Genomic DNA, 24,177 nt, shown 5'->3' with positions numbered 1-24,177 from the left:
GGCAGGTGGATCAAGAGGTCAAGAGTTCAAGATCAGCCTGGCCAAGATGGTGAAACACCGTCTCTACTTAAAATAAAATTAAAAAAAAATTAGCCTGGTGTGGTGGCAGCTGCCTGTAATCACAGCTGCTGGGGAGGCTAAGGCAGAGAATTGCTTAAACCCAGGAGGTGGAGGATGCAGTGAGCCAAGATCATGCCACTGCACTCCAGCCTGGGTGACAGAGCGAAACTCCGTCTCAAAAAAAAAAAAAAAAATTCAACAGAACTCTGATGAGTGACATCAATATCACGTGTCCTTATTCTTGTCCTAAGAATCTCAGCAGGGCCAGAGTTATTAGGAGACCCCTTCAGTCCTCACTCACTTGGTGCCTTCCTCACATCTTCCTTCCTCCTTGGGTCCAGTTCTGGAAGTTTAGCCCTAAAGGAACCATTATCATTACTGCACACTGGCTGCAGCTCCACTGGGGTGGATGAGAGCTGGGAGCCATCTCAGGCTGAGTGGATGCCTTGACAGCAGGAAAAACAAAAGATGTTCACTGAGACAGTAAGTGAGACTGGAATAGAAGCTGGGAAGAAAAGGGGGTGGGAAAGAGAATCTCAGAAACTCAGTTGTCAGGAAAACAAAGGCCCTGCATGGATAATGAGATGACACAATTTATATGGGAACTTTGAACATGGATCTTAGAGTGGGGAGGAACAGGAAGAGGGCAGAGGGGTAATCTCAGCTTGGAGAGTAGACAGGCAACTGGACACAGGGCTAAAGGGTGCTCATCACTCAGTGACCACAAATCTCCATCTGGTTTGACCTTAAAATTAATCTGGATGCAGCAATAGAAGGTGAAGCCCTCCCAGCCAGAGGGCTCAGGCTGGGACTGGCTGAATTCTCACAGCTCACACTGCAACATTGATGGTCTCTTTCCATTTACACCAGGGATCGAGACAGCAGGAATGTGTCTGTGTCAGCAGAGGGCACTCCTTACTAACAGGCTGGGCTTGCTCTGAAAGACTGGGCTTATGAAGGAAGACTTAGCCTCAATCAGGAAGAACCAAATTAGCCCTTCTTCACAGCCAGAGGGGTCCTGGCTGCCTTACTCAGAGCTGGAACAACAGCCACCTGTATGGTGCTTCTGGCAGGACTGCCTGATGCTGGAAGAGCAGCTGACGTGGGTTCTTGTCTGCCGGCGTGTCATTTCATCCTCCGAATATTTATTGAGTGCTGAGTATGTTAGCACTCTTCTAGGGCTGGGGACACAGAAGAGATGAATGAGGAGGCAGTATTTTGTGGTGATTAAGAGAGTGTGACCTGGAATATTCTGCCCGGGCTAGAGTCACAGGTTTGCTGCTTCCTGTGTAAACCTGGGCAATGGACTGAAGTTCCCTGATCTGCACTGTCTTCATATATAAGATGGCAAAGATGATAAAAACACTGTCTCAGGATTATTCTGAGGGTTAAATAAATTAATACAAATAAAGTGCCTTCAACACTTCCTGTCATATGTTAAGTTCTCATTAATGCTGGCTACTATTCTTTTCCCATGAAGGGCATATGAGAGTTGGTCAACAAACATCTGCTGGGATTCTGCTATATTCCAGGACCTCTGTCAGGTGCTGGGGATGGTGTGGTGAAGGCAGATGTGACAGTACCTATATGGAGCTTACAATCCAGATGATTGATTAGAAAGTATCCTAAATGCTGGAAAGCACTTTGGGATGTTACAGGACTAGTGTTGGCTCTGCTCCCACAAAACAATGTGAGCTTGGGACAGTCAATTCATCTCTCTGGCCTTCACTTTCTTCATCTAGAGAGGGAAGGGTCCTTGATGGTGCTATTGCAAGCTGGTAGCCATGGTGATAATAGTACCCTCAGATCCATCTAGCAATTCAAAGGGTCAATCATGGGGAGGTTCCACTGACTCACAAGCCCGATACATCTTTCTTGTCCCCTCCCCACACGTATCAGTAGGACTTATGGTCTATCATGATGCTTTTGGGGTTAGTATTGTCTTTCTACCCACAAAGGTGATGATCCTTGACCAAGTTAGTCTCTAAGATTCCTTCCAGCTTCAATATTCAGAGCCCATGAAAACTTCTTCCCTTTGGACCTGCTAGCTGGTCTAGAATCCCCCTTGTTCCTTCTCTGTCAAAACACAATTGTTACTTGCATGGTGACTTCAGTTGAGAAGCTCTGAGTTACTAGATCTTATGGTCATATGGGCCGTCCACCATGGCAAGTGCTGGAGGAGGACAGTTTCACAATAGAGGACCCTCGGGTCCTGGCTGTCAGAGCCCAGCTAAGGGTGAGACTGGCAGTCTGTTTCTGAATAACAAGTGAACAATCAGTTGCACATGGAAAACCTTGAATGGGCAAAGACAGCATGGCTGCTGTTTTCAGAATTTCTGGTTGATTTGATCCTTGTCTGACTTGAAAACCATACTTCTCTCTGAATCATCCTCCTGAAGCAGAACAAAGCTCTGCAATGACATTTGTGCAAAAAAAAAAGTGAGGTAGGAAAATGGTCTTGTTGAGTCTTGTTATGGAAAAGACATCTGGTATCTCCCCTTCACTCTTGAAGGATGTATATAAGAGGTCAATTCTTGGCCGGGCGCGGTGGCTCACGCCTGTAATCCCAGCACTTTGGGAGGCCGAGGCGGGCGGATCACGAGGTCAGGAGATCGAGACCATCCTGGCTAACAAGGTGAAACCCCGTCTCTACTAAAAATACAAAAAATTAGCCGGGCGTGGTAGCGGGCGCCTGTAGTCCCAGCTACTCGGGAGGCTGAGGCAGGAGAATGGCGTGAACCCGGGAGGCGGAGCTTGCAGTGAGCCGAGATCGCGCCACTGCACTCCAGCCTGGGCGACAGAGCGAGACTCCGTCTCAAAAAAAAAAAAAAAAAAAAAAACAGGTCAATTCTTTCAAAGATTTGTCACACACCTGATAGGTCAATTGCTTTGATTAAATACAGGAAGTAAAAATTAATTCTCTGGGATTTCTGAGTCTTCTTGGTTATGGAAAGGGGACTGTGGTGCCCACTGTTTGCTGCCCTGTCCCAAAAGCTGCCCTATCCCAAAACTGTGCTGATGTTTGAGTCCGATGCCTGACTGCCCAGCAAGTCAGGGAATCTTCCAAGTGTGTGTTGTGCTGGTGCCTTCCTCCCATAGATGAAACATGGGTTAACGTGGGTTAGTGTATGAAGACTGTAATGGGGTCTCGTGGACTCTGCAGTGCCAGCCTAGGCATGGAAAAAGTATGGAGTGTGGGAAGTCTCTCTTCCATGTTCCCAACCTCCTCATCAGTTTGTTTACCCTTCAGATGCTCCTTCATACACCCACCAACAGGAATGTCAGAAAATAAGATTAAGCAACCTCAGAGGCTTCCTGGCACTAACAAAATAACTCCTTGCTGAAGCATTCAGTGCCCTTTACAGTCAAGGTGCAATGTTCCAGTGTCTCTTTCAAGCCATTCTAGTGTTTCTATATCAATTTACTCACTAATCTCTAAACACATTGTGATGTCTCATATGCCTGTGGCTTTTCTCCTGCCCATCCAAAGTGGTAATATCCTATTCCTGTCTGCCATACACTGAACTTTTCTTAAGCTGCCCAATTAAAAATGTACCTTTTGGGGAGGCTAGAGAGAGCAGTGGTTATCAGTGTGGGGAACAGGCCTGAGTGTGAACCCCAGCCCCATCATCTTGGGTTAGGAGAGTTTGAACAGGTTCCTGACTTTATAAAAGGGAGAGAACATTATCATCCTTAGAGGGTAGTTCTGAGGATTAAATATTAATATGATAATGCTTGTAAAGTTGCACAGTTCACTGTGGGCACATAGCAAGCCCTAAGAGAGCTATTCTTAGTAATTTTGTAGAACCTTGTCTTAGTCTGTTCAGGCTGCTATAACAAACTCCCATTAAGTGGGTAGCTTATATACAACAAACATTTATATCTTACCGTTCCAGAGACTGAGAAGGCCAAGATCAAGGTGCTAGCAGATTCCGTGTCTGGTGAGGGCCTGCTTTCTGGTTCATAGACAACCATTTTCTTGCTGTGTCCTTACCTAGTGAACAGGAGAAGAGAACTCTGTGGGATCTCTTTTATAAAGTTACTAATACCATTCATGATGGCTCCACCTTCATGATCTAAACACCTTCCGAAGACCCCATTCCCTGATACTGTCACTTCAGGGGTTAGTATTTCAACATATAAATTCAGGGGAAACACAAACATTCAATCTATAGCGAACTTCAATAAAACTTACCATCTATAATGATAGACTGTACCTCCATCATAGTAGTAAATGTATTGTTCAAAGAGGACTCTACATATGTGTCTCATACAAATTTCTGCAGTTTCCTCAGAGTAAAGGACTATGTCTGATTAATCTTTCTCCCACTATGCCTTATGTCAAGCATATTATATAATAGAGGTTTAATAACAACTGCCGCAAGGGATTTATGGTTGATAGGTCAGTTCTGAACATCCCGCAGAAGTTTAGCAGTGTTCCACCAGTGCTGAAAATATTGCTTTCCCTTTGGGTGTCCATTCAGGTGCAGTTTGCTTGCAGAATTATGAGGAGCAAAGTTCTGTTTAAGAAAGCGTTTCTTTCTCTGTTTGCACAGGAAGAGGGCAGGTCTATTCAAGGGAGCTCTGAGGTGTCCGAGACCACAGTCAGACTCTACTCTCTGATCTCCTGAGAGAGAGCTTCAGCCTCTATGCTGGTGAGAACACTTTTCCAGGAGTGACAATGGTAAAGGAAAGTGGGGAGAAATGTGACGAAGGAAAATTATGAGAGCCTACAATAAGGAGGTAATGATAGATGCTGTTCTTGCTGACTGGCAGTAAAGAAAGGGAAGTGAGAGAATGTTGAAATCTATGACAGAAATAGAACATGAGGAAAGGAACTAGTTCTGTGGAAGAAGAAGTTTTTGATTTTAGATGGATTGAGTTGAAGTAACCATGGAACAGAAATCTCTAGTAGTGGAAAAGTTTTTAAACCTGAAGCTCAGGATGGAGATCTGATAAGCAGCATGCATTGTGACTATGGATAACAATTGTATTGCATACTTGAAATTTGATAAAGGGTAGCTCTTAAGTATTCTAACCACAAAAAAAAGAAGAAAAAAATGTGACATAATATGTTAACTATTTTCATTTGATTACTGTTTGATGGTGATTATTTCACAATGTACATGTATATTAAAACATCAAGTTGCCCACCTTAAATATACATAATTTTTATTTGTCAATATACTTCGATAAAGCTGTTTTTAAAAAACCAACCTGGAGCCCAGAGAGGAGATACAGATTTTTGAATTATTTTCTTGGAAGCCGTAGTTAAAGCTTTGATGGTGATGTGATTCTTGGGAGTAGAAAAGTTAGAGGGAAGAATAAAGTCCTGAGAAGCACTTAATGCAAAGGGAGAAAGAAGTCCAAGGAGGACAGAGCTCCGAGGATGGGGAGCAAATGTGAGGTCAGAGTGAGATTGAGCCCTGACTGTGGGAGCTAGGGAGAAAAGTCACTAGGAAAATTGAGGATGCAAACTAAGTCAATTACTGCAGAGAAGGAAAGCATGGGGCCTGTATCAGACTCCTGTAGTCAGATGTTAGGTGCTCATGAGAAAGCTTTAAATTGGTCAAAGAAGATATAATAGAAGAGGCCTGTTATGGGCTGAGTTTTATGCTCCCAAAATTCATGTGTTGAAGTCCTAACCCCCACTTTCTTAGAATGCAACTGTATTTGGGGATAAGGTCTTTAAAGAGGTGATTAAGTTAAAATGAGGTCATTAAGGTGGGCCCTAATCCAATATGATTGGTATCTTGATAAAAAGAGGAGATTAAGACACAGACACCCACAGAGGGAAGACCATGTAAAGACACTGGGAGAAGGTGACCATCAACAAGCCAAAAAGAGAGGCCTCTGAAGAAACTGTCAACCTAAATAACAAATATAGAGAGACCTCTAAAAGTACTAAGTTTAGTTGGGGGAAGCATTGCAATGTGGAACACGTGTGCCATAGTAAACTATGGGCGTATTTGAGGTGGTTGAGGCAAGGGGAGGCTTTTAAAGGCAAAAGGAGGAGTACATGTACATCACAGGAGCTGACACCAGTTCATTAGTGGAGGCAGTGTGTCAGGCAAGTGTTCCTGTGCATCTCACTGGCTGTCCTTGTGACTCTTGTAGCAAGCTGCAGTTTAGAAAGTCCTTACCAAAAGCTCTGTGACAGGTATGTGTGCATAAGAGCCCTCCAGACAGTCTTTGTGCTAGTTCTTATCATAAATGTGTGTGTGAAGGCCTTCCGTTCCTAAAATCTTGACTTTTTGTTAGGGTGACCTAAGTGACTTCATCTTGATATTGACAACTTTCACAAAACCAACCCTGCCAACATCTTGACCTTGAACTTTCAGTCTCCAGAATTGTAAGAAAAAAAATTTGTATTGTTTAAGCCAGCCTATCCATGGTGCTTTGTTATGGCAGCTCTAGCAATTAGAAAAAATACCAAACATAATTTACCCATCATTTTTATTCTGGAATCCAAAGAAAATAGGAATATCAGTAGCAGAGAGGAAGACCATAATGAACATGGCCACATTTCTTCACAGGGGCAGCAATCAATGCAGGGGGCCTGTAAGACTAAGGCTGTAGTTTTCAGTTTGTCTGAATACTGTAATAACCTGAGGGTTAATTTGAAGGAAAATATCTTGATGTCCCGGCATCACCCCAGACTCCTAGAGAATTTGGAAGTAGAACTCCAATATCAGGACTTCAGAAAACTCCTCAGGTGATTCCAATGTGCAGCAAAATGGAGAACCAACAATCTAAAGAAAAATCCATCCACCAAAGGCCAGAGGAAACAGACAGAGTTTCTGAAAGTCCATCGGGCAGCAAAGGCCCAGCCACATTGGGAAGTCCACAAGGAACAGAGGCCTATGAGATGCAGACTTCTAAGGGCTCTTTGGGTGGGCTTGAGGACTGCACACAGAAGACCATGGCTTGGTCTTGAGTGATACAGGATGTGCTCCTTTTGTTGTTCCCCAGAATGTGGTGAAGTCCTGAGAAGTTGTCAGAAGGAAAGGACATGAGGTATGGATCGAGCAATAAAGATATTATTCAATCCTTGCTACCCTCCGAGAGAGCCAAAAATTTGTGGAAAAGAAAGGGAACAAATACTTAGTAAGGGAATGTGTTTACATTTAAGTCCATCTCCCATTCAACAAAATAGGAATTAATATGCCCATGTCATCAAAGAGGAAGCTGAGGGGCTCTGCAAGATTTGTAAATTTTCCTAAAGACATATATCTGGCAGAGTTGTATTTTGAACCTAAGTCTATCTGACTACCATATTTCATGATATTGCCATCACATAGTGCTTTCTCCCAATGAAAGTATGAGTAGCGGTAGTGTAGGATAGGAAGCGTGCTGGACTTTTATTGTGTCATTTTAGCTAAACTGGAACTACATTTCCTAGAATTCCCTGCCCTGCATGGTTCCAAATTACTATGGGCCACAAGAGACATTTTTATGCAAGATTTGGAAGGTAGAAGTGATGTAGCAGCCATGTACTTGTTTTTCCTGGAGAGTCCTCGACACCCAAGGCCCTGTTGCAGCTGACTCTCAGAGCTTACTGTGCTCACTGTGCTGGCATAGGGTAGCAGCCTGCAGCGACTCAAGCTTCTGCAGGGTCTTCTTCAGCTTCTCTGACTCCTGGCCTCATTCATGTTTCGCTTAGTAGTGAAAGGTGCCACCTTCATCCTCATCATTGATGAGGACATCCTCATTGTCCTCATTGATAAGCAGGACATCCTCATCATTGAGGCTGTCACCTGGAGATGCTGAGAGACTAATGCAGGTTCCAGCTCATGCTCATGGGTTCCATTCATTCTTGCAGGTTCCAGGTTATCCTTGCTTTTCCCAAATGCCTGCCCTGTGGACTTCAGGCTGCCACACCAGACACAGAAGAAACAGCCTTCTGTAGACTGTTTAACTATATCTCACAGTTGTGTAATGCCAAATCCCTACAATAAATCCCTTATTATTTATATTGCCTAGTAGGTCTGTTTCTTTTATTGAAATCTGACTGACATAGGGAAGCATGACTAGGGAAACTTTTTTTTTGAGACCGTCTTGCTTGGTCATCCAGGCTGGAGTGCAGTGGCACAGTTAGCCCACTGCAGCCTCAGCCTCCCAGGCTTAAAGGATCCTTTTGGAAACTTTGTTAGGACACAAGGTAGAACTACCATGCTGAGAAATTCTGTTCCTGGATATCCCACAGGCAGGTAGCTCATCAGAAACACTGTTATATATTCTGGAATCAGAAAGCAGTTTTGAACCATGGGGTTGGAAAGTATGTTTCAGCTCAGTGGCTTATGGCCCATGACAGGTGAGCAGCCAATCAGTGACAAAGAGTGCCACCACCTCACTGTGCTGGGTCCTGGGGCCATCATCAGCCTCACAGGAAACGTTTTCAGAATGCTGTGTACTCAGAAAGAGGTTGAAGGATGCTCCTCTTCCAGAGGGAGCTGAGCCCAAGGGGACATCCCTGTGATAAGTGTGGTTCAGGGGCCAGGCACTTGGCTCACGCCTGCAATCCTAGCACTTTGGAAGGTTGTGGCAAGTAAACTGCCTGAGCTCAGGAGTTCAAGACCACCTTGGGCAACGTGGCAAAACCCAGCTCTACTAAAATACAAAACGTTAGCCTGGCATGGTGACGGGAGCCTGTAATCCCAGCTATTTGGGAGGCTGAGGCACAAGAATCGCTTGAGCCCAGGAGGTGGAGGTTGCAGTGAGCCAAGACCTCACCACTGCACTCCAGCCTGGGCAACAGGGCAAGGCTCTGTCTCCAAAAGTAAAAATAAAATTTAAAAAAGTGGCTCAGGATTGGGAGATCCTTTTCAGGCCTCACAGTGAAGCTCCACCATTTCCCCCATGTCAGCCTGGACCCCAGGAGCTCTGAGAGTGTGGAGACAGTTAGACACTGGAAATGACAGAGAAAATGGGACTGTCAGAGAAGGCCCCTGCTGCTTCCACAGTCTTCCCATCAATCCATCTACTCAAGGAGGCTAGAACAGGTAAACAGCCCATTCTCATATCTAACATCCCCATATTCCTGATCTTACGTTCAGAAGAATCACCCCCAGAGCTGTTCTGAAGAATTTTAAGCAACATTCCATACACCTGTCCTGAATCCTCAGTTCCCATAAATCCCTCATGGCTATCCTTCTAGGACTCTGTAGTACCGTCATCATCACCACCACCAAAAGCAATAGCAACACCATGGAGCTGGCAAATTATCTCCCAGGCTCTGCCACATAAAGTGGCTAATTGTTCTCCATAGGGTTGGCTTCTGGGTCCTCCTTGAAACATTCTCATGATGCCTCTGGGGATATTGACCATACTTTGAGATTTGCTGGTTGAGATGAATGAAGGTAAATATCCTTCTCATATTGATATTTACCTGCCCACTAAACATACAGCCTTGGCTGTTCGCAGCTGAACAGCATCACCCCCACTCACAACAGAGGTCATCTGTTTACTCTCTGGGAATGTCTAGTGCTCTTTTCCAAACCTTCCCTGTGCCTTCTCTGTATCAGGAGAATGTGGTGTCCCCTCGGACCTTAGACACCAAGGAGCCAAAGAAGAGCATTATTCAATCACTCACCCTACTCTAGGGAGGGAAATGAGCTGGGACTCATGGTCAATGTAAGTACGGGGACCCCTGAGTGAACACAAGATATCACAGGCTGGGTTTCCAGGAAGGCGGATGCTGAGATAGAAATGAACATGTAGGAAATCTGTTATGGAGTGATCTCTGTATCAAAAACTCTCGAAAGGAAGGAAACAACTTTGTACAGAAGGAGAAGCTGGGCTTTGATGCCATCTCCACAAAAGTCTCAGCCAACCCTATAGACACCCTGAGTCTAGGATGATCTTTCAAAGTGGTCCTGGGTTGAGATTTAGGGGCCCTGCCTTTATACCCTAGTGTGGACAGCCACTGGATACAATGCTCTGGAAAGGGAGGATGACCCTGGATGGAGTGGCCAAAGCCTTTCCCAAGAGGGCTTATAATAGGATTATCTGCTGGCAGCAATTCTAGCAGCTGGGACAATAAGTCCATTCCTGACAGGGGATCTGGGTGGCGCATCACAGAATCCATTACGTAAAATAGGAGTCAATTTTGAACATATTTCTGTGGAGGAGGGCAAAATCCCTGCCTCTTCATGCAGGAACATGTGGCCTCCAGATGCAGATCACTTTGGGAACTCAGAAAGGTTAGGGTGGGCAAATCCTGACACACCATAGGGCATGTGTCTGGGGGCTCACTGGGTAGCTCTGAGGGAGGATACTGGAGGATATTAACCCTGACTTGAAGATCACTACCGAAGATCATAAATCCCCCTTTCTTCTCATGTGTACAGACTTATCTCGAGCATAATGATTTCCCTGACACTGTCTTCTCTCTGCTTCAGCCCATACTAATCTCTCTCTTTTGCACTGTTCCAGGTTTGTAGACCATGTTTCCCAGTTGTTTATCAGCTTTGTGTCAGAAGAGATCAGTTCACTTACCCTACTGACTTCCCCTACAACCTCTATGGTTAGCTGATGGGCACCCCATAATTACCTAGTGTAAATATTTGGTGGTTTTACCGACTGGAAGAAGAAGGATATAGAGATGTAGAGGCCTTATAAAGCTTGGGATTTATGGAATATCATGATAACCATCCCAGTTCTTTGCATCATTGGGAAATGGAGGACACCAGGATGACTAATGGACCTAGCTGCTTTCAAGAGGAACCCTGTTTCTAGGAACAAAATAGAAAAGAAGAAACAAATATCTGTCCCCTTCCCTTCCCTTCTGCTTAGCCCTCAAACTGGCAGACAGGTCCCTCTGACACTCATTATTTACTTGAATCTGGGGTTGTTGACTTTCTTCCTATACCCTGTGTCCTTCGTGTTCTCCCTCTGACATCAGTACACAAAGAACCTTTAATTTTTTTCTGTCTCCAGACTGTGAAGCTCTTGGACTTGCATCAGCTTTGCTCTAAGAGCTCTGCCATTTCTAAATAAGCCAAAATGAAGCTGAGTCTCTCATATCTGGAAGAATTTGGTCCCTGAGCTCTCCTCCATGGGATACTAGTATCTGGCTTTTGGGACAGAAGGTTGAATAAGTTCTAGAGAAGATTCAAACACATTTCCCAGGGCAATGAGCTCAAATTTCTGGTAAGAATTGCATTGTGTCCTCAGCACTAGAACATGGGCCATACAGCCCGTGGGACACAACGACCCATGGCTCACATATCTCTTTAGGAGACTAATCTGGGAGAGTGCTAATCAAAGAGATTTCTCTTGTCAGCACCTCTTTCTCTATAAACCAGTCCACTCCCTCTTCCAGCCCAGGCCCATGAAGAGAGTTAGCCTTGCCCTAAGCTTTGAGCCTCATTGTTTAGAAGTTTTTGAGATTTTGAGATGTCCTGCAGTGGTACTTGAGTTTGTCACTAGGGTCTGTGATTGACTTGTCAAAGCCTGAGGTTTTTTTTTTTTTTTTTTTTTTTTACTAAAATAAAAACTCTTTCTTTCATCTTAAGGAAGTCAGAGTAGTTCATAACTTTTCCTCCTTACCCGAGCCTCCAGGTATCACAGAGCTGCGGTGTCTCCATCAGAGATAGACTGTGTGGCCTTGAGATCAATCTGTTCACTTTTTTCAAGTTCCTCTAATTTGAGTCTATAGGAGAAGAAGGCACAGCCCTCAATGTGCCTGAAGATGTTCTGCTTCCACATTAGCCACAGGAACCATTTGCCTGACCACTTCTCTGTCTGGAGACCCATCTGCCTGACCACTTTTCATGGGATGCCACAACTCCCATGGAAACTTATGCTTTTCCCTCTCCAAGCTCATTCTTCATTCAGAAGTGGGGTTTTTCTTAACTTGAGTTTCCTCTTTTACTTGGAGAAAAAGGCAAATATGCAGGGTTCTTCAGGTATTAATCTGCATTCTCTAGTAAAACTCACTTGAATTCTATTTGAAACAGATTCTTTATTCCATCACCCCTCTCATTCCTCACTGTCCCAACATATTCTCTTTTATTTAGGGGAGAGAAATTCTTTGCTTGTTGCATTGACCCTGGGCTTCTTTGCCCTCAGATCCATTTTCCACCTTGCCCTTGCTCTGCTCTTTGCCACAGGGGACAATAATGGAGTGCTTCTGTGCATGCCAACATGTTGGTTTACTAAGTCAAATAACACCACTTCATGATAGGCAGCTAAGGTCACATGCAACTTTGTGGCCCATGGTCAAGGGTTCAGTCTCTATTAGGACTTAGTAGCAAGTCAGAAGTTAAGTTTTCAAAAGGAGACTAGATATCTACAAAGGTGGACATGGCTTTGCTACAAAACGTGTCCTTCACCCTGGGAAATATGTTTTGACATGTCTAAGAACCCTGGACCACTAGAAATTTCACCAAAATGGGATTTATTTACCACCTTCTGGCATGTATATTTCCTACCCAGATGTCTAGAGTTGCTGCTTTGTGCTCAATTGGTCTAATCAGTATGATGCCATTGATCTAATGGATGAGTGTGTGATGTCCTATGAAGAAGAGAAACTGATCAAGGTCTTTGTGATTCTATGACAGAGGGCTGAAAAGCTGATATAGCTCAAAGTTAGGACAATAAAGTGTATTGTAAATGCTTCTGGTGGTCTCAATTAACAGGAATTGAGGTTAAAAAAAAGGCATTTTCCAGGTCAAAAGCTGCATGGTGAGTGCTAGTAGCAAGATGATTTGCTCTGTCAAACAAAACCACATCTGGAGCAGCCACTGCAATTGCTGTTCTTCAAAATACACCTGTCATTTGCACAAACCAAATAAGTGAGTTGAATGGAGGATGTGATAGGAATTTCTCCCTGTGTTCTTTCAAATTAATCTATAAATGTAATAAAATCCCAATAAAAAGTTCACCTGGATTTTTTTTAGCCATTTAATATACTTACTCTAAAATTTTATAGAATAATAAAAATCTATGAAAGTCCAGGTTAACTTTGATAAAAAAGAACAAAGAGTGGTTTTATATTATCAGATATTAAGGTAGATCAGAAGTCCAGGGCAATTAAGTCAGTACAATGTATGTGCAAGATCAAATAAATAAATCAGTGGAACAGAGTAGAGAGATCATAGACCTTGGGTGCACACACACACACACACACACACTTAAGGTTGACATCACAAAATAATGGGGAGTGCATGACCTGGCCTATTTAGTACATGGTGCTAGATTACTCTAAGGGAAAACAATTTGGACTTATACCTAATATCAAATGTAAAGTTGGACTCCAAAAGATCCAATGCATAAAAAGTAAAACTATAAAATTAAGGGAAGTTTTGCGATTTTGGAGTCAAGAGGGACTAAACAAAACTCTAAAAACATATGTTAAAAGCAAAAATTGGATGAGTTCTATAGTTTAATTTTTTTTTTTTTTTTGAGACGGAGTCTCATTCTGTCACCAGGCTGGAGTGCAGTGGCACGATCTCAGCTCACTGCAATCTCGACCTCCCGGGTTCAAGTGATTCTCCTGCCTCAGCCTCCTGAGTAGCTGGGACTACAGGTGTGAGCCACCACGCCCGGCTAATTTTTGTATTTTTAGTAGAGACGGGGTTTCATCAGATTGGCCAGGATGGTCTTGAACTCCTGACTTCGTGATCCACCCACCTCGGCCTCCCAAAGTGCTGGGATTACAGGTGTGAGCCACCGCACCCGGCCTATAGCTTAATTTTTTTTTTTTTAAATCTGCTCAATAAAAGACACTATGGACAAAGTTGACTGATGGTAGAGTAGGAGGTAATGTTTGCAAAGCCTAAAACAAGCAAGAAACTTATATAGAAAAAGCAGTAGCTCCTATATACCAAATAGGAAAAACCAGAAATTATATTAACAAAATGGGCAAAGGGCACAAAATGGTTATTTCATAGAAGAGGAAACTCAAAAGGCTAACAAGCACATGCAAAGATGCTTATGCCTATTGATAATTAGAAAAATGGAAATAAAACACCAATTAGATCTCTGAGATCTCTCTTTATCCTCATCTGATTGGTAAAGTTAGAACACTAAAGGGTTGAGTGGGATGTGGGGTTAGGGAATGTTCTTGCCCTGTTGGGGGCACTAGTAACTTTGGGGACCACTTGGCATTACTTCTTCCATCAATCACTCTCTCAGGTATATATCCAGAGATATTCTCACACAGGTCTATGGTGTGACATGAAAAAGCAGGTGTCAGTGTTTGTAGTAGTAACAAGTTGGGGACAATCTAGATATCCTTCACTGGGATTAGATAAGGGAAGCATGGTGGAACAACTTGCAGAAGTTAGGAGCAATGGGCTAGATGTACACATAACAAAATAGATGGGTCAAAACATAGTGCCAAGAGAAAAATGCCCAATAACATATGTAAATTAAAAAGTCTCAAGGAAAATGATACATGTATGTGTATCATCATGAAGTTATTGGGAGGCTGGGAAATGGAAATAGTAAGTAAAGACACAAGGAAATAAATAAACTAGAGCGAAAATTCATATGGACCAATAAAGTGAGTGAGCCATGAACTGAGGGATTAACTCTATGTCTGAGGTTACAAAATGAAGAGTAAGTAAAACAAAACAAAACAAACAAAAAACAAACGAAGCATTAAGAAGAGAACAGATAACACAGCATAAAAAGGCAAGCACGCTTAATAAAATAAAATAATTTTATATTCAGTACAAAACCAAAACTCAACTCTACATTACGTGTAAGGGGCATATCTTAAAGAAAGTGACTCAGGAAAGTTAAAAGTAAAAGAATGGAAGGCTGAGTGTGGTGGCTCATGCCTGTAATTCTAGCACTTTGGAAGGCTGGGGCAGGCTGATCACCTGAGAACAGGAGTTTGAGACCAGCCTGGCCAGCATGGTGAAACCCCATCTCTAAAAAAAAAAAAAAAAAAAAAATTAGCCAGGTGTGGTGGTGCATACCTGTAATCCTAGGCTGACTTGGGAGGATTTCTTGAACCCAGGAGGCAGAGGTTTCAGTGAGCCGAGTTCACACCACTGCACTCTCCAGCCTGGGTGACAGAGCGAGACTCTGTCTCTAAAAAAAAAAAAAAAAAAAAGGACAAAGTCATATCAAGGCAAAAAGCACCAAATGAAAGTGGAGGAGGTTAAAATATATGAGAAGTCTCTAGGCCTCAAAAATCTTTGAAATTGAATATCTTGGCATCAAAATAACCGACACATAGACTGGAGGAAACAGAAATAAAAACAGAAACAAACTTGAGCACAATGATAATAACAAATGACACCCGTAGACCTAGAAGATCCAGTGGATAAAAAATAAGGAAGCATATGATTTGAGTGATATGATTAATAAGTTCCTAATAGATACATATTGAACAATAGATCCTAGCAACAGAGAATTCACTTTTCTTTTTTTTTTTTTTGAGACGGAGTCTCCCTCTGTCGCCCAGGCTGGAGTGCAGTGGCGCCATCTCAGCTCACTGCAGGCTCCGCCTCCCAGGTTCAGCCTCCTGCCTCAGCCTCCTAAGTAGCTGGGACTATAGGTGCCCGCCACCACACCCGGCTAATTTTTTGTATTTTTAGTAGAGACGGGTTTTCACTGCATTAGCCAGGATGGTCTCGATCTCCTGATCTCGTGATCCACCCGCCTTGGCCTCCCCAAGTGCTGGGATTACAGGCATGAGCCACTGCGCCCAGCCGAGAATTCACTTTCTTTTAACTACTCATGGAACACCTACAAAAACTAACCATATTTTAGGTCACAAAGAAAATGTTTAAAAATCACAAATGCAATGAATTTTTTAAATCACAAAATTAGGGGAAAAGATTATCACCAGGTAATTAAAAAAAAATCCCTCTATAAGGATCAGGAAAAATAATATTTAATACCTGGGTAATAATACTTAATACCTGGCTAACAAAATAATCTGTACAATAAACACCCATGACACAAGTTTACCTATATAACAAACCTGCACATATACCCCTGAACTTAAAATAAAAGTTAAGAAAAAAAACCAAATAAAATAAAAAATAAAAAATACCCTTTAAATCAACTTTGAGATCAAAGAAGAAAATAAAATTGATGTTGCAGACTGAAAATAGTAATAACCAAAACACTACATATCCAAACCTGAAGGATATGACTAAAATATGTTCTCAGGAAAATTAATGAAACAGTTGGAATGAGTACCAAGAAAAAATGGAAATAAATGAACCCAGTATTAATCTTAAGAACTTACAAAAATATGAACAAAATAATTCAGATGAAGGCAGACATTATGAGTAAAATAAAAAAAACCCTCACAATAAGGAATATGAATAAACTCAAAAGCTTTTCCATGAAAAGCATATTGATATGCCACTGAATAGCCTAATCAAGAAAGGAGTGGCAATGAATAAATATACATCTGAACACCTACATTGAATGGATACTTTTCTAGAAAAATATAAATTACTAAATTTTATGTAAGAAGAGACAGTTAAATAAAAAGAATAATAGTCATGAAAAAAATTGAAGCACTGTTAGGGAGCCACACCTCTAAACATATCAGGGCAGATGATTCCATACTAACTTTTTTTTTTTTTTTGAGACAGAGTCTCACTCTGTCACCCAGGCTGGAGTGCAGTGGAGCAATCTTGGCTCACTGCAACCTCCGCCTCCTGGGTTCAAGCAATTCTCCTGCCTCAGCTTCCCAAGTAGCTGGGATTATAGGCACCCACCACCACACTCAGCTAATTTTTGTATTTTTAGTAGAGACAGGGTTTCACCATGTTGGCCAGGCTGGTCTCAAATGCCTGATCTGAAGTGATCTGCCTACCTCGGCCTCCCAATATGCTGGGATTACAGACGTGAGCCACCGCTGCCAGCCTCATGGTAACTTTTTAAAAATCTTCAAGGGAATTGATAAAATTTAGTAGCATTCAAATTGTTTTTAAGCATAAAGAACTCTTTTAACATAATAAGAAATCAATATAGCATTGATATCAAAGTTTTTCAAAGAAAGAATGAAAGGCTACAGACAAATCCTCATTATAAATATCTGTGTAACCTAATGTAAATGATGAGTTAATGGGTGCAGCACACCAACATGGCACATGTATACATACGTAACAAACCTGCATGTTGTGCACATGTACCCTAGAACTTAAAGTATAATAAATAAATAAATATCTGTGTAAAAGTCTTATATAAGATACTACCAAAGAGAATTCAGCAGGATGTTAATATACATCACAGCCAGGTAGGGTTGAAACAATTATTTATTATTAGGAGATGTTAATGTAATCCACCATATTGTTAAAAGGAAACAAAAATAACACTGGGAAGATGTTTTAAAAATTCAACATGTACCTCTGATTAAACAGTAAATGAGTTTTGATGACTCATAGAGTGTGTTGCATCATGAAGCATGTGGCTTCTACCTTCCCTTAAGTCTGCACTCCCAAAGCTAGTAAAGGGCCTTTTTGAATCAATATTTATCTTCTTGAGAGGGAAGTTTTGTAAATACACATACATACATATATACATATATGTGCATGTGGTATGTATTTTCTATATCTATGGAATGTCTGCTAATGTTGCATTGTTAAATTGAATAAACACTAAAATAATATATAGATTATGGTACAATAAATTCAAATATATGTGTTAATATATGCTTATATATTATTTTACTGAAGAATATATAAGTGTTATTTTTATTCCTTATATGACCTTCAGGAAGTTTCAGAACATTAACAGCAGTTACTTCTGAGTGTTAGAATTTTGGCTGACTTTTATTTTCTTTCTTCTATACCACTTTTTTTCCAATGTGTTTTACCATTGTAATTTTTAAAAAATTGAAAAAATAACTTTTTTAAAACCTAGTTTATTTCCAAGCCATTAAGAAAGGAGATTAAGGCCGGGCATGGCGGCTCACTCCTGTAATCCCAGCACTTTGGGAGGCCGAGGCAGGTGGATCACAAGGTCAGGAGATCGAGACCATCCTGGCTAACATGGTGAAACCCTGTCTCTACTAAAAATACAAAAAAGTTAGCCAGGCGTGGTGGTGGGCGCCTGTAGTCCCAGCTACTCAGGAGGCTGAGGCAGGAGAATGGTGTGAACCCAGGAGGCGGAGCTTGCAGTGAGCCAAGATTGCGACACTGCACTCCAGCCTGGGCAACATAGCGAGACTCCGTCTCAAAAAAAAAAAAAAAAAAAAAAAGAAAGGAGATTAAATACCCATATTTTCTTTAATTTTGTCTGTTTTATATGTCCACATTTCTACCAGATGTAGGGCCCATTTCAGGTTATTTCTTGCTTGTTCCATCTCAGGCTGCCAAGGAGACAGTAACTGAGATTCCCAGCCAGGCACTTCTGGAAAAGACTAGAAAAGCCTGCTTGGCCAAGATGCCAATGTGGGGGACAATTTCACTAAGCTCAGCTTCTTTGGGAGTTGGGTTTTTCCCTTAATGCAGGTGGGGCTGAGACTGGCTCAGGAGAGTGGTGTTTACAGTCCTGCAGAGGGGATGGGGGAGCCACAAGTAAAGTCTTAAAGTCCATCTGGGGTTGTGGTGCTCTCCAGGCCTGTGAGGCCAGTGAGGATATGGGCCTGCTGATCCCCAGTCTCCAGATCTTCAAAGAGTATTAAGCAAGAATGCTATAGAGAAAAGGGGGAGAGGTGGTAAGGTGGGGAGACCCAGTAAAGTACTGTTCAGGCAAGCTTATAAGATCTCCCAGGAGAAGAGAGGCCCAGATTAAGGATGGATCCTGGCCCCAAGCCTCAGACTGGATCCCCTCATCCGGACCATCCCAAAGCAGCCCAGGGACTTCTTCCCAGACTTTGCTCCACAAGAGGTCTTTATGAGTGTGTTTTGCTTGATCTTGTCCTACTCTGTGAGGAAATTTGGCTAGATGGTATCCCACTTTTCTGACAAAGATAATAAGCTTTGGAAAAGTTTGCTACCTACATGGCTGGCTAGTCAGGGAGGTAAACCTCTAGCTCTGAACAGTTGACTCCAAATCTTGGATCCTTGCTAGTGCCCAGTACTGAGTCAATTTCCTTGAACAAGTCACAGGTTCTTACTAGGTCCTAAAGCTCAGCATTGGCCTAGTGTTTTAAAGACTTTTCTTCTCACCAAGGACCTCTGAAAGGCCACTCATTAGCTCTGGCCCATGGGACTGGAGGGCTCCATGGGAGCCTGGGGCTGGGGCTGCAGCTAGAGAGAGCAGTCAATCTTACTGGCTTCCACTCCAGTCAAGGCTCTATGGAGGCTTTGGAACCTGCAGTGGTCCCAGAATTTCTTCATTTTACCTCTACCCTTAGGTAGCTCTGTCTTTTACAGCTTGTGGCCTGGCTTTCTTGACAGACTCTGTGTTCTTCCAACTCCTCCTAGTCCCTATTAGAATCCAGAGATTCATTTTGATGAGCAGAGTTGTTTAGGGGAGAGAGCTGAGAAAAGCTGAAGAGATTATAGAACAATATAAGCAGTGTGATCTTGATGAAAATCACTCAAATTGTATAATTCTATGATTTTATAATTATTTTCCTAGCATTATGCCTCAACCCACAGTCACAAAAAATACCAGTGTTTTGTCTTTTGAGATGACAGATAAAGTCTAATAATATTAGCATAGATTATAGGAGAGCCCTTTAACTCTGGACCAGCTTAAGTGAAGTAATGGTGTTGCATTGAGCACATTTTTGCGTAGAGTGGTTGAGTGGTTCTGAAGAAGGAGGGGGCAATGGTGAGTAGTAAGGAGAATTGGAAGTGGCAGCACAAGGAAGGATCTTGGAGATGGGCTAGCCCACAAATACCACTCCCCAAGCCCTGCCATTACCCAACACCACACACTGCTCCTGCATCCTCCTCATGCCCACAGTCAAAGGTCTCAATTTGCTCACATTCAGCCAGTGCCTCTTCTGTCCTATGGCACAGGGCAACCTGAATGAACACAGGTTGGGCCTCTTCTGCCACTCTTGAATACAACATGCCAGCAGGTGTGTGCTTGGCTGCTCAACAGCCCAGCTCCTGGCACACCACGGCCACATCCTTCATGTCCCAGCTGTCATCACACACGGTACCTCAGTGACCTTCCTGTTCCACTTCCACTCTTCCTTTGCAGTGGTGAGGACCATTAATCAAACGGACTTTGGTCGGGGGCTCTGCAAACAGAAGAGGTAAGAGCACACTCAGGAACTTACTCTTAAAGCAGCTCCCAGTGTTAAGAGAGGTTGTTTGATGTTGGTGTTGGTGATGTTGTGTGATGTGGGCTTAGGGTACTTGCAAAAATAAGGAAGTACAGAGCTTCAGATCTGCCCTATCCCAATCACCATTTTACGAGCATCTCGCCCCACCAATGCCCCCCACTCAATGATACCTAAAAAGGAGCCCTTGCTTCCACTCTGACGATAAAGGGACGTGGGGACATAGAGACTTATGGTTTGGTTCTCACAAGCTCAAAAAAGCTTAGAAACAGAGAAGGCTAGAATTAGATCTTTCCTAGAGATAGAGACTGAGGCCTAGAGTAGGAAAGGCCTAAGGTCAACTGAGTTATGCATTTTCCTTTTAAAAACTGCTCTGTATGACACTGATGACTTCACCAATGGCAGGCCCATTTTCTCTGGGGAAGGGGGTGGTAGGAGTTGGATGGACACATTTACACGGACTGGTTAATCTCTAACATCTGCCTGTCTTGTTTTTATGGTTTTAAGCTACAGTCATTGGAAAGAAACTCTTTTCTCTAGGATCTCTAGCAGAAAGGAGAGATGTAAGCCTAGAGTTATCAGTGGCCAGCTCTGCCTGTCTAAGAATGAAGCTAATGGCAGAAAGCAGAGGAAAGAAGGTGGACAACAAAGACAGAGACCTTGCATCCACTTGCACACAAAGCCTTGTCCATTCTTGACCCCTCTCACCAACTTTGCTTTTTTTTTTCCCTCAAGCCAGTTTGTATGGGACTTCTGTCATTTGCAACCAAAATGCCCCATCTCACACAATTACTATGATCACAGCAAAGCCCCTGGGAAAAGGTAGACTTAACAGAATTATAGACAATAATGGGAATATTATTCTCAAAAATTAATAGATTAAACAGGACATATGTAAGACTCTACAGAGAATGAATAAATCAAGCAACTGGCTTAATTTTATAGAAAAATATATACTGTGTACCTCTAACAGAAAATTCATATTCTTTTCACTTTCTGTATAGAATATTTATATAAATTGACTATATGTTAGACCATAAAGAAATTCTTACTAAGTTCCCAAAAAGTAAAACTTATACAGGCCACTTTGAAAAAATGTTAAATACAAGGATAACAAAGAACTTTATGAGAAACTAAGAAAATAAAGGATGAAAAAAATCTATTCATAAGAAATTATTTTATAATAGTTATAATAATTTGCCAGGTTGAAAAACAAATGAAAACATATATTATACACACACTTTAGATATTAAACAAATGAAAATATTCATTAAAACTTTTAGGATAATGTGAAAGTGTACTTAGAGGAAAACATACAGTTTTAAATGTATTCATTAGAAAACAAAGATAAAAAATGAATAAGCATTTCAGGTAAGAAATTAAAGAAAAGGCAACATAAAATAAACTTAAAATAAAAAGAAGGAAGAATATACTGAAAGTAAAGGAGAAATAAATGAATTAGAAAACCAAAACCAAATATATTTGAATGATAAAACAATTTTCTATTTGTACAATAAAAATAAATCTAGGTATTTGAAAAGAGCAATGTAACAGCTGAACCTCTGGCAAATCTGGTAAGAGAAAAGAGACCACACAAACAAGTTAGAAATGAGAAGGACACAATCACAAACTAGAGGGCTTTAAAAAATTAGATGAAAATACTGTGGTTGACTGGGTGTGGTGGCTCACGCCTGTAATCTTAGCACTTTTGGAGGCCGAGGCGGGTGGATCACTTGAGTTCAGGAGTTCCAGACCAGCCTGACCAACATGGTGAAACCCCATCTCTACTAAAAATACAAAAATTAGCTGGGTGTGGTGGTGCATGCCTGTAGTCCCAGCTACTTGGGAGGCTGAGGTAGGAGAACTGCTTGAACCCAGGAGGTGGAGGTTGTAGTGAGCCGAGATTGTGCCACTGCACTCCAGCCTGGGTTACAGAGCGACTCCGTCAAAAGAAGGAGGAGGAGGAGGAGGAAAAGAAGAAGAAAATAATACTATGGTCAACATTATGTGACAAATTTGAAAATCTAGAGAAAATGCCCAACTTTTTGAGTGAAAGAATTCAAATTGTGTTTTAAAAGGGTGAAAAATTTGAAAAAAGTGAATAAAAAAAGATCTGACAATGGAGAGAAAAATACACCAGGCTCAGAAAGTTTTTGGGCTAGTTCCAAAGACTAAGTAGCAGATAATTCCAATATTGTTTTCAATTGTTGCAGAGCACAGAAACTATGGAAACTTCTGAAATTATTCTTATGAGGCTAACCTATCCCTGAAACCTAAACCAGATGAGTAGAATTTAGAAAAGAAAACTCACTTATAAACAAAATGCTAAAATTTAAAATAAAATATTAGCAAGTGTTATGTAGTTACTACCTGCAATGACTAAGAAGGGTTTATAGGGGAAATTCAAGGATTGTTCCGTATTAGGACATCTATTAATGCAGTTCTCCACAATAATGGATTGAAGAAAAAAATGTACAGAACGGTCATAATATATTAACTTTGTGGCTAAGAGCACAGTTTCTTGATTCAGGCAGCCCTGGCCTAAAGTTCCATCTTTGTACCTATTTGCTATGTAAACTTGGGCAAGTTACTTAATCTAAATTTTATTTCCTCATTTGTCAAATGAGAGTTGTTATGGAGATTAAGTGAGATAATTCTAGTAAAATTTTAAATCCCAGAATCTAGTCTGTTCACGGTTTTTCTACTTGTATTTACAAGGGTTAGTTGTACCTCCTCCCTCCCTGGAGCTCTGCATGTGCAAGATACTTCCTTATTTTTCTCAGGGAAGTCTTCCTCCTTTCTTCTTGCCTTACCGACCTGACTCCCAACGCTGACTTGACCCTAGCACAGTGCCCAATACCCAGTATCTATTTCACACGTTTTACTAGTTCAGTGAAAGGGAACAGGAGAGACCAGGGGTTCGCCAGCAATGCTGCTGTTAAGATCAATTACACAAGGCCTGGCGCGGTGGCTCACGCCTGTAATCCCAGCACTTTTGGGAGGCCAAGGCTAGTGGATCACCTGAGATCAGGAGTTTGAGACCAGCCTGGCCAACATGACGAAACCCAGTCTCTACTAAAAATACAAAAATTAGCTGGGAATAATGGTGGGTGCCTGTAATCCCAGCCACTCCAGAGGCTGAGGCAGGAGAATAGCTTGAACCCGGGAGGCAGAGGCTGCAGTGAGCCGAGATTGCCCCATTGCACTCCAGCCTGGGCGACAGAGCGAGACTCCGCCTCAAAACAAACAAACAAAAGCCGAAACAAAAAACAAAACAAACAAACAAAAAACCCAATTACAGGGAGAGCCCTGGAGCATTAAGGCGCTTTCTAGAGGAACTCTGATTCCTCGAGGAGCAGAAATTTCCGAAGGAAAGGAAGCACCAGCCATTGCTTGGTATAATTGCAACAAGCTCTCTGGAAGGAGCTGTTTGCCATGTCCCACCTGTGACCGTGAGTGCCACCACCTCACTGCGCTGGGATCCCCAGCCATTGTCGGCCTCACAGGAGTAGTTCCCAGAATGCTCTGCGGCGACGGAGAGGTTGAAGGACGCTCCTCCTCCAGAAGGTGCTGAGGCTTTCCCCAGAGTCACATTTTCATGGTAACACCAAAACAGAATGGGTGCAGACGCTCTCCTGTCTTCGCAGTGAAGCTCCACCACATGGCCAATGAAGGCCAGGGCGCCAGGAGCAATGAAGCTGAGGAGAAGACGCGACACTGGAACTGAAAGAGGTAGTAGGGTCCGTCAGCGAGGCTGGTCGCAACTCACAACCCACCCGGTCCTCGGCTCAGGAAGTCCTCGCCTCATAGCACCCCGCCGGCCCTGGACTCTTTCCCACGTCGCACCTCGCACCTGCTGGTCTAACCCTGCAGGGGTGCTTCCGGCAGAGCTGTGCTGGGCTCTGGTGAAGAGCTCGGGATACATGGCCCCGCGTCCACCTTCTCACCCTCCTCTA

At 42.5% G+C, this 24,177-nt stretch overlaps 1 long non-coding RNA gene across 1 annotated transcript; it reads right to left on the bottom strand.

Annotated features, from left to right (window-relative positions):
• Positions 1–638: 638 nt before the first annotated feature.
• LOC105371458 (uncharacterized) lies at positions 639–23,743 on the bottom strand. The gene is made up of 4 exons (NR_135760.1): positions 23,666–23,743; positions 19,919–20,179; positions 3,949–4,054; positions 639–1,241 (listed from the first exon to the last, which is right to left on the bottom strand). It is a non-coding gene; the product is annotated as an uncharacterized LOC105371458 (long non-coding RNA).
• Between the last annotated feature and the right edge of the window lie 434 nt (positions 23,744–24,177).

Source organism: Homo sapiens, chromosome 1 (assembly GCF_000001405.40).
Source record: "Homo sapiens chromosome 1, GRCh38.p14 Primary Assembly".
Classification (NCBI taxonomy): domain Eukaryota; kingdom Metazoa; phylum Chordata; class Mammalia; order Primates; family Hominidae; genus Homo; species Homo sapiens.
Note: the sequence above shows the minus strand (reverse complement) of the source record. Positions and strands in the feature narration are given on the sequence as shown.